At 45.8% G+C, this 11,776-nt stretch overlaps 1 long non-coding RNA gene across 1 annotated transcript; it reads left to right on the top strand.

Annotated features, from left to right (window-relative positions):
• Window positions 1–672: 672 nt before the first annotated feature.
• On the top strand, window positions 673–7,771 carry LOC124903329 (uncharacterized). Its single transcript, XR_007064206.1, has 2 exons — window positions 673–755; window positions 5,750–7,771. It is a non-coding gene; the product is annotated as an uncharacterized LOC124903329 (long non-coding RNA).
• Window positions 7,772–11,776: the final 4,005 nt, after the last annotated feature.

The raw sequence follows: 11,776 nt of genomic DNA, 5'->3' as shown, positions 1-11,776 counted from the left end.
AGGAGCTCAGATGTCTGAGGGCAGGAGAAGATGGACGTCCCAGCTCAAGGACAGAGAGTATTTGCCCTTCTTCAGCCTTTTTGTTCAGTTTTGCCCCTCAACAGATTAGATGGTACCAGGGAACATTGGTGAGGGCAGATCTTTACTCAGTCTACTGGTGCTAATGCTAATCTCTTCTGGAAACACCCTTGCAGACACACCCAGAAAGAATGTTTGACCAGCTGTCTGGGCATCTATAGGCCCAGTCAAATTGACACATAAAATTAACCCTTGTGTTTTTTGTTTGCTAGTTTGTTTGTTTTGACAGTGTCTTACTCTGTCACCCAGGCTGGAGTGCAGTGGCATGATCTTGGCTCAGTGCAGCCTCAACCTCCCAGGTCCAAGCAATTCTCCCACATCAGCAGCCTCTGGAGTAGCTGGAATCACAGGCATGTGCCACTATAACTAGCTCATTTTTAAAATTTTTGTAGAAATGGGGTCTCACTCTGATACCCAGGCTGGCCTCAACCCCCTGAGCTCAGTCAGTCCTCCTGCCTCAGACTCCCAAAGTACTGGGATTACAGGTGTTAGCCACCATGCCCAGCCTCATGTGCTTCTTTTCACTTTTCACTCTTGCCACAGCCCAGATGTGTTCTTTCACACTTAACAGCCCAGATGTGTTCTTTCTCTCAGGCTGATGCGTGCTTCTGAACAGCTGACCCTGAGGCCTTCATCCACCTCTTGACCAGGACCCCCTCATCAGGGCTTCCATCCAGGTAAGGGTGTTGGACCATTTCCAGCTCAACCCCTTTCGAAAGCATGGCCTCTTTCTCTGTGGGCTCACCTCCCAGCACCCAAGGAGTCGACACCAGGACTCCAGAACCTACTTCAAAGCAACACAAGACCCCTTCCACTCTCCCAGCCCTACCATCTCACACACACACACACACACACACAGCCTCTCCTTCCATGGGCAGAAGTCAGTGTAGAGGCAGGAGCTCCAAGCCCTGAGACCATCAGGATAATTTCATTATGTCCTTCAGCCGGGCGCGATGGCTCACACCTGTAATCCCAGCACTTTGGGAGGCTGAGGCAAGCAGGTCACCTGAGGTCAGGAGTTTGAGGCCAGCCTGGCCAACACAATGAAACCCTGTCTCTACTAAAAATACAAAAATTACCCAGGTGTGGTGGTACACGCCTGTAGTCCCACGTACTCAGGAGGCTGAGGCACGAGAATCACTTGAACCCAGGAGGAAGAGGTTACAGTGAGCCGAGATCATGCCACTGCACTCCAGCTGGGTGACAGAGTGAGATCCTGTGTCAAAAAAAAAAAAAAAAAAAAAGTCCTTCATCTGTCACCAACAGAAACCTAGGATGCCCAGCTCATCCCTCGCCACTGGTTCCATTCTCCATAAGGCTTAGATGTCACCTATTAATGAGGCATCCCCAGAAAAGCACACCCATCTGTATTTCCTATCCTGTTCCCTGCTTTATTTTTCTCTATAGCAGGTTTCTCGCTTATAGCTTTCTTATTTATTTTGCTTATTTTCCAGCCTCTCCCACTAAAATATAAGTTCCACAAAAACAGATATCTTTGTTTTGTTCCTTGCTGTGTTCCCAGACCCTGGAACACAGTGTGACAGAGAGAGGGAGAAAGAGGCTTAACTTTCCATGAAGAAAAGTTTTAGAGGCCGGGCGCGGTGGCTCACGCCTGTAATCCCAGCACTTTGGGAGGCCGAGGTGGGCGGATCACTTGAGGTCAGGAGTTCGAGACCAGCCTGGCCAACATGGTGAAACTCCGTCTCTACTAAAAATACAAAAATTAGCCGGGTATGGTGGCGGGCTTCTGTAATCCCAGCTGTTCGGGAGGCTGAGACAGGAGAATTGCTTGAACCCGGGCACCAGAGGTTGCAGTGAGCTGAGATTGTGCAATTGCATTCTAGCCTGGGTGACCAGAAACTCCAGCTAAAAAAAAAAAAAAAGGTTTTAGAAAAGCGTTTCTCCTCTCAAGTTCCCTTGAGATGTGACTCAGACAATGTTTCCCTGCCAGCTTTTTAGAGTCCTTCCTCACTCTTAATGCACCAGACTTCCAGCTCCTCTCCCAAACCCTGGGAGTGCCAGAGCCCTCTGGGGTCAGTAGGGCCCCTGTGGGAAGCAGCTGTCACATTCCTCACGGGTTCACGTCTTGCCAGGGCCAGCACAGCAGTTATTGCAAACACTTTTTCAAAGATCTGTCAGGTGAGGAGCCCCCTTGGACCATGGCACAGCCCCTACTGGTTTCCCACCCTGAACCGTCTCCTTCCTGGGTTACAGAGGGCACTTGATGCAGGCCTGCCGAAAGGGAAAGTTGCGGAACTGAGAGAAGCAACTTTCTGATTACAAAACTGAAACGAATCTAAAGCCAAAAAGTTCTGCCTACTTACAGTGGCTGGTCTCCAGGCCACAGCCAATGCTTGCAGCTCAGAGCTGCAACCCAGTCATTGCAGGTGTGGCCACGGCTTTTGCTGGGAGGGGGCCTCAGGCAGCCTCTTCTGCCCCCACTGCCAACAGAGCTGAGAAACGCAGTGGGCATCGCCAGGGCTGCTGCTGGAGCGGGAGGAGGCAGGGCCCTTGCACCACAAGGCCTGGCAGAAGCACCTGGAGGCCAGCGCTTTGCGGGACTCGCCTTAGCCAGCTGAACAGAGCAAGGATTCCGATTCACGTGGGCCTGCACGGGTTTGGGGGAGAGGGGATGAAGAATGGGATTTAAGCAGGAGATAAGCAGAGGGAAGGAAAGGGAAACAGGCAGTGCCTAGCATAGGCCACCAGACAGTTACCACCATGCTAACAGAGTTATCATTAAATGCTTTAAGGGAAAAAAATCATTTTTTCTTTTTTCTTTTTTAACCAACCATACTCTGAACTCTGAGAAGCTAGAAAATCTTTTTCTCAAGTGGCCTAGTGGTTAAGAGTCAGGGAACTATTATACAGTTAGTCACACCTGGACTCAATTTTGTGCTCTGCCTCTTCCCCTCGGAGTCACCTTGAATAAATGTCTTCACTTCCCTAAACCTCCCTTTCCTCATCTATAAAAAGATGACAGTAGTTCCTACCTCTTAGGGTAGTTGTAAGGATTAAGTAAGGTAATGTTTCTAAAGCTCTTAGCACGGTGCCTGGCACACAGTAAATGCTAAGTTCCTCTGATTGCATATGTACTCTCTCAAATGGCAGCATTGTCAACATTCCCATGGTCAGCTACTTCTTCTGTAACTCCATTTATGTTAGATTTGAATCATGCAAAGTTATTTGCACAGCGAAGTAAAAGTTACTGCCATACTGCATGTAATCCAAAGCAAAAGTAAATGCTCCATTTCAACTATAAGCAGCTTTCCGTTCCTAGCACAACTCAAATGGAAAGATGTTGAAGTGACTTTTGCTTGTTTTTTATATTCACCAGAATTTTTCAGTATGATTTATACAGTAGCTTCATGCAGTTTGAGATCTCAGCCTCTCTTTGCTTTGCTGTCACCATTTTCAAATCTTCTAATCACATCCCATTCCCATCTCACTTCCAGTGTCACCACATTTCATTCCTTTGCTGTACTTCTTTTTTTTTTGAGATGGAGTCTCACTCCATTACCCAGGCTGGAGTGCAGTGGCACGATCTTGGCTCACTGCAACCTTCGCCTCCTGGGTTCGAGAAATTCTCCTGCCTCAGCCTCCCGAGTAGCTGGGACTACAGGCACGCACCACCATGCCCAGCTAATTTTTTTTGTATTTTTAGTAGAGACGGGGTTTCACCATGTTGGCCATGATGGTCTCCATCTCTTGACCTCGTGATCTGCCCACCTTGGCCTCCCAAAGTGCTGGGATTACAGGTATGAGCCACCGCGCCTGGCCCTGCTGTACTTTCATCTCTGTAAAATGGTACCATCTCTGTACCATTTTTGTAAAATGTCTTGTGAGTTTATCACTGGAGGACAAGGAGGAAACACAACCAAGTACTTTACTGTCGGTGCCTGAACTGAACAACAGAGGTGCAATAACCAGTCACCAACAGACTTTTTAAGTAAGTGACATGGTTGGTCACTGATTGTGATGTGGGCATGTAATTTACCTAGTAATTTGTGGACTGAAGAGCTAGCAGCAAAGTTTGTACTTTATTCAATTACTCATAGTTCATATACTGTGGTAACTGTAATTGTACCATGTTATTGAAGGACTGGTGTTCTCAACTAAACCGTAGTAACTAAAATTTGTGCATATTGGAACTGTATAAGGCCAGCTCTGTGTGTAATGATGATGGGTGTTGGATGGCTTGCCATATGCCAGGCCTTGCTCTAGGTGTTTTACTCATATAATCCTTCCTACCCTTTGAGGAAGGTAGCATTACTGATCCCCATATTACAGAGGAGGAGACTTAGTCACAAAGAGATAACATGCCCAAAGGCATGTGGCTGGCAAGTGGCCTGTGTTTTTAATTACCATGCCATACTTCCATTATAGAGATGAGGATGCTGTATCAGGATCATGTGGCTCATAAGTGGTAGTGTGTGGGTGCTATCTATCACAGCTGCCTCTACCCCAGCCTACCTGGGAGGATCATCATTTCAACATAAAGTGGCTTTCAGCACTTCCCCAGCTCACAGAAAAAGAAAGATGCAGCCTCAAACACCACCTATGTTTCCCAATTTTATTTGTTAATTTTTTTAATTTTTTTTTTTTTGTAAGAATAGAGGCAGAGTCTCACTATGTTGCCCAGACTGACCTCAAACTCCTGGGCTCAAGTGATCCTCCCACCTCAGCCTCCCAAAGTTCTGGGATCACCCAGCTCACTGCATGAGCCACCATGCCTGGCCTTTATCTGTTCATTTTTGCATATGTAATACATGGGCCAAAATTCAAAAAGAACAAAGACTACACCATCTCTGTCTCAGGATATCCCACCTTCCAGCCTCATTTTCCTCCCCAGAGGCACCCAGTGATACCAGTTTCTTCTCCCTCCACTCTGGAACATCCCATGTCACCCACCCCTCTCAGATATCTATTAAAAGTTTGATCAGGGGTGCGGTGGCTCACGCCTGTAATCCCAGCACTTTGGGAGCCCAAGGTGGGAGGATCACTTGAGATCAGGAGTTTGAGACCAGCCTGGCCAACATGTAGAAACCCGGTCTCTACTAAAAATACAAAAATTAGCCAGGCATGGTGGTGGGCGCCTGTGATCCCAGCTACTCAGGAGGCTGAGGCAGGAGAATCACGTGAACCAGAGAGGCAGAGGTTGCCGTGAGCTGAGATCACGCCACTGTACTCCAGCCTGGGCGACAGAGTGAGACTGTCTTAAAAAAAAAAAATAGAAAAAGAAAAAGAAAAAGAAAAACTTATGCCCAGAATCCTGGGTTATAGCAAATTTATTTATTTATTTATAGACGGAGTCTCTCTCTGTCGCCCAGGCTGGAGTGCAGTGGCGCCATCTCAGCTCACTGCAAGCTCCTCCTCCCGGGTTCACGCCATTCTCCTGCCTCAGCCTCCCTACCTACAGGTGCCCGCCACCACGCCCGGCTAATTTTTTGTATTTTTAGTAGAGACGGGGTTTCACCGTGTTAGCCAGGATGGTCTCAAACTCCTGACCTTGTGCTCCGCCCGCCTTGGCCTCCCAAAGTGCTGGGATTACAGGCCTGAGCCACTGTGCCCGGCCAACAATTTTAAATGTAAGAAAAAGTCACTAAGAAAAAGTTACTGAAGAATCAAAATCTTTTAAAAGTTATCTTTGGGTTATTTGTTTTGTTTCCAGGAATTTGAGAAGGATTTAAACACCATGAAGAAAAAGAGTTTGCTGTGAAATTTGTGGAGGGAAGAGCAATAAAAAGTCAACATCTCCCAGCGGGACAGGACGAGTGCGCTGCTATTTCCCGAAAGGCGCTCAGGAAGGGCCCTGCCTCCGGGTGGGGAGGAGAGGCGGGCAGCCTGGACTTAACCAGAGCCTGCCAGTTGCTCGTGTTTATTGAGGGCCATCTGCTCTCAGGGCCCTCAATCTTGTACTCGGTCTATTTGGAAAAGGATTTAAAGGGCAAAGAAAATAATATCTTCATCTACTATTCGGGCTTTTCCAGGACAATACTGATTTCAAATATTTTATCCTCCTGTCGCCTTAAGCTATCACAAATGTTTTAGAAATCCCAACTTCGTAGTGTCTAAATGGAATTTTCAGAATTGCCTGTAAACCTCTTACCTTCTGCAGCACAAAATCCTTTCTCTGAACACACATCTCAGATTTTTGGCTGGGATAATACAGTCATCATAGAATACTGAACAGAAGGAATTTCAAGGAAGGCAATTTAAAGTTAGAGGGAAGAGCAGTAAATGTAAAACTATAAACAAATAAAAATGAAATAATAGCTCGTTCTTATTGAGAGATTTAGTGCCGTGCTTATGGTTGTGGATACTGAAGCCAGTCTCTCTGGGTTCATATCCCAGCTTTGATACTTACTAGCTGTGTGACCTGGACAAGCCAGTTAACCTCTCTGTGCCTCAGTTTCCTCATCCACTAAAATGTGGAGAATGGTACAGGGTTATGAGGGTTTCGTGAGGCTTTTTTTTTTTTTTTTTTTTTTTGAGACAGAGTCTCGCTCTGTTGCCCGGGCTGGAGTGCAGTGGCACGATCTCGGCTCACTGCAAGCTCCGCCTCCCGGGTTCACGCCATTCTCCTGCCTCAGCCTCCCGAGTAGCTGGGGCTACAGGCGCCCGCCACCACGCCCGGCTAATTTTTTGTATTTTTAGTAGAGATGGGGTTACACCGTGTTATCCAGGATGGTCTCGATCTCCTGACCTCGTGATCCACCCACCTCGGCCTCCCAAAGTGCTGGGATTACAGGCGTGAGCCACCGCGCCCGGCCCTTGAAGCTTAAGTATATTACAACAGGAATTTAGAGCTGAGCCCGGGGCAAAGGAAGCACTTTATTCGGATTTGCTCTTGTCATTGGCCCTCACCCTGGGCGGGGTGGTAATCTATTTACACAAACGAACTCATTTAACCTTCACCACAGGCCCCCCCACCCCCAGACAGGTCCCCTCAGTATTCCTCCTGGGCATTTGAGGAACCTTAGACCCGCAGAGGCTAAGTGACTCACCTAAGTCACCCTCCTTGGAGGTGGAAGAGCCAGAATTCAATCCCAGGTCCCAGAACTTATGACCACCTTGCTCACTATAAACATAAGTGAACAAAAAGTGATAGAGATATTTTAAAGCAGTGCAAGTCCTTGCTTCTTTGTGACCTGAAACTCCATCGACTGCTCACCTGGTATTGCCCCTAAACCACTTTCAGTTGTGTTGATCCATCCACTTCTCAATATCAGCTGTCGATATTGAGTGGCCAATTTCCGCCAAACTCCGATTAAACTCTTGGCACATGCTGGAGTCAGCCTTCTGCCTTCCTGCAGAGAGCCTTCTGACAGGGACAGGCGTCTTCCGGCCACATGGGGTTCAGGAGGAGGACAAATGCTCCAGCACTGATCTGGAAAAGACTATAGCAAAGCATATCGCCCATCAGCCTCCAGAAGGGCTAAGGGGCTATAGATGGAAGAAAGGCTGCAGGAATACATAATAGCTTGGTAAATAATTTGAAGTCTTTGAAAATTATTTCTGTCACTGTTGTTTGAGCCACCTTTTCATTACTCAATATGCCTGATTTATGGATATCACATTTAGGTGAGTGAGTCATTAAAACATGCATATAAAGTTGTCACACACAGACACTTGATGACTGTAGATGAGATTATTTATTGGAAAATAAAGGTGAATGTTGTAACAAGGGCAATCCGACTTTGGAGTCACCCCACTGAATTCCATTAACTGAATTCAATTGAATTATGCTACTGTTGATGGCTAGAAGCTGTGTGACTTTAGGTGAATCATGTAAGATCTCTAAGCCTCATTTTCTTTTTTGAAAGGAGAGAGAACTGACCAGGCCATCTCTTCAAGCGCATGTTTTTCTATTCAGCACCAATCAAGCAAAAAATTCTGACAGTCTCTTATATGCTAAGTCTTCTCGTAGCAGCCTGTTCTTTTCTTCGTAACACTTATCACAATTTATAATGATGCATTCATTGTCATGTTTAGTAACTGTCTCCCCCGCTAGACAGAGCAAGGACCACATCTGACTCAGTCATCAACACATTCCAGCACCTAGCATGATGCCTGGCACATATTAGCACTCGGCAAATATTTGTAAAATGCACGAGTTAGTTAATTAATGAAATGCGGGGAATGACCTAGACACACTCCATTCACTAGGATATAATGTAGTATTTACTAGAATCTGAACTCTCTTGCAGAGAAGAGCAAATGATTAAATCTGAGAGAGGAAGAGGCTGAGAAAGACTTCCAGGATTTGGTTTATCTGCTCTGGGTCCTAAAAGAATCCCAGGCAGAGGTATAAATGTTGAGGGCCAGGGGGTAGGAGGAGCATCGCAAACTGGGAAGAGGAAAAAGGAGTCTTCTGTATTGGGATTTTCAAGGATAGGCAGAAAATATATGGTTTGGGGGGAATCTCAAGCCAATTGTTATTTCTGGAGCATAGAATCCAAGGCAAGTAGCCGGGCGCGGTGGCTCACACCTGTAATCCCAGCAGTTTGGGAGGCCGAAGCAAGTGGATGATGAAGTCAGGAGATCGAGACCACCCTGGCTAGCACGGTGAAACCCCGTCTCTACTAAAAATACAAAAAATTAGCCAGGCGTGGTGGCACGCGCCAGTAATCCCAGCTACTTGGGAGGCTGAGGCAGGAGAATCACTTGAACCCTGGAGGCAAACGTTGCAGTGAGCTGAGATTGCGCCACTGCATTCCAGCCTGGGTGACAGAAAGAGATTACAACTCAAAAAAAGAAAAAAAAAAGAATGCAAGGCAAGAATAATTGAGGTAAATGAGACAGCAGTGTAATTGATGGGTCAAAGTACCAGAGGAGGCAGGAAGTGAGGATCTAGAATGTGGGGTATGGCAAGGACCAGGGCCAAGTCTTCCACTGAAGCAGGCAGCTAGGAGGGAAAGATGGGAAGAGGAGCAGCTGTGTTCTGAGGGGAGGAAGTCTGTTTATGTCTTCCTTTAACACAGGGGTCTGCAAACTTTTTTTTGAAAGGGCCAGAGAGTAAAGATTTTTGTCTATGTGGGCCACATAGTCTCTGTTACAGCATCTCAACTCTGCAGCTATAGGGCAAAAGCAGCTACAGGCAACACTTAACTGAGTGATATGTCTGTATTCCAGTGAAACTTTGCATATGAACACTGAGATTTGAATTTTACTTAATTTTTACATCACAATATATTATTCTTTTGATTTTTCTCTAACCCTTTAAAAATGTAAAAACCTTTCTTAGCTCATGGATCATACAAAGCAGGTGGTGGCTGGGATTTTGCCCATGGGCCACAGTTTGCCAATCCCTGCTTTGACAGATATTTATTGAGTTTCTACTATGTGCCAGGCAGTAAGCCAGGTTTTAGGAATACAAGGTCCTTGCATGCAGGAATCCACAGAGGGGTTTAGGAATAAGACATAGAAATAAATGACTATGGTAATATAAGCCAAGCCCCGTGCCTCACGAATGGATGAATGAATGAACTAAATAAAAGTATTATATCAAAACAGCTACCTATATCAAACAAGTTTGGACTTTGACCACCATGAGGGCTGCATATACTGTGTACTGCACAAATCCAGAAGTTGCCATGTGCATGCACTTCAGTGTAAATGGTACCCCCTGGAGTTGTGTGGTGGCCCTGGTGGTAGCCCAGTGGAGGACTCTGGGTGCATCCTGAGGCTGGACCGGAAGGCCTCACAGAGGAAAAGGGAGTTAAGCTGAGTCTTGCAAGGTGAGTAGGAACTTTGTCAGGCAAGTAAAGCAGGATAGGGCATTCCAGGAGGAGCAACAGTGTGAAAGAACGCTGCATGTGTAAAGGGAAAAGCATGAAGTTCACAAGGCACTCAGGGTGTGGAGAGTGAGCTGTGGAAAATGAGGGTAGAAAGGGAAGTCACGGCAATACAAGGAAGGGTCTTGTGGGCCACACTGAGTAATTGGCATGCTATCCCAGACCTGCACCGTCCAATCCAGTAGCCATTAGCCACAACTGAGTTCCACAGTCACATTTCTGTAGCCATGTTCAAATGCCCAGTGGCCATATGGCTAGTGGCTGCCATATTGGACACTTCCATCATCACAGTTTCATTGGGCACACTGTTGTGACTCTGAGGAGCCTCTGAGGATCTTTCAGCAGAGGAGAGGCAGTACCATGTTTTCATTTAGATGAAATGAAAGGGTGGAGGGTGCACTGGAGCCGAGGAGACTACTACGATAGTCCAAATGGGAAATCTGGAGTCCCTAAAAACAGGCAGTGTCTGTGAGAAAGGGAACAGAGGGACAGATTCAAGAACGACTTAGATGATGGAACCTAGTGATAGGTATGTGTGGAGCCTGACAGAGAGGACAAATCCCAGTTTCTAGACTGACCCTGAAATGGCATCTACTCTCAGTGAAGAAGAAGGCATGGTCAGCCGCTGAGACTCGGGTAGGAGACTTGGTTAGGCCATTTGTCCTCTCTGGAGCTGTAACCTTGCTATACAACAAAGAGAAGAGAGTGAAGGGAATAACCTTTTAAAAATATTTACTTTTCTATTAATATTTCAAATCACTTTCTATTTATTTATGTATGTATATATGTATGTATTTGTTTATTTTTTAGAGATGGGGTCTCACTATGTTGCCCAGGCTGGCCCCAAACTCCTGATCGAGAGATCCTCCTGTCTTGGCCTCCCAAAGTGTTGGGATTAGAGGCATGAGCCACCATGCCCGGCCACACACATCAACTCCTAGTAACAAAGTGTAGCCAAAATTCTTCACTTATTATATGGCTAGAACAGCTCTTTATCATGTTAGCTACCAAAAGTTTCAAGAAGATGAATAAAAATCTTTAATCTTTTGGTTCTCTAAGCATTACATTCTTTAGCATTTATTGAGTGACTGCTATTTGTAAGACATTGAGGGTAAAATGAGACATGAGAGACACAATCTCAGCCATCAATCTTTGATTTAAAAAAGACTTCAAATCAAAGGAATAATATATTTTTAATTTTTTAATTTTGTATTGTACAAATGTATGGAGTACATGAGAAATTTTGTTATATGCATATAATGGGTAGTGATCAAGTCAGGGAATTTAGGGTGTCATCACTCAAGCACAATACATTTTGTTAAGCATATTCACCCTACTCTATCAAATATTCAGGGTGTACTTCTGGAATCTTCACAGAGACAAAAAAAAAAAAATTCAGGGTATTTATGGTGTCCATTACCCAAGAACAATACATCTTTATTAATTATAATCACTCTACTCTTTCAAACATTTAATTTATTCCTTCTGCCTTACTGTATGTTTGTACCCATTAACCCACTTCTCTTCATCCTCCCTCTTCCACTCACCCTTTCCAGCCTCTAATCTACTGGTTTTTTTGTTGTTGTTGTTTTGTTTTGTTTTGTTTTTGAGACGGAGTGTCACTGTGTCGCCCAGGTTGGAGTGCAGTGATGCAATTTTGGCTCACTGCAACCTCCACCTCCCAGATTCAAGCGATTCTCCTCCTGCCTTGGCCTTCTGAGTACTGGGATTACAGGCACCTGCCACCATGCCTGGTTAATTTTTGTATTTTTAGTGGAGACGGGGTTTCACCATGTTGGCCAGGCTGGTCTCAAACTCCTGATTTCAGGTGATCTGCCCACCTCGGCCTCCCAAAGTGCTGGGATTACAGGCATAAGCCACCGTGCCCAGCCCCTAATCTA

This window comes from Homo sapiens, chromosome 14, assembly GCF_000001405.40.
Source record: "Homo sapiens chromosome 14, GRCh38.p14 Primary Assembly".
NCBI classification, from domain to species: Eukaryota; Metazoa; Chordata; class Mammalia; order Primates; family Hominidae; genus Homo; species Homo sapiens.
This window is presented reverse-complemented; position numbering and strand designations above follow the sequence as displayed.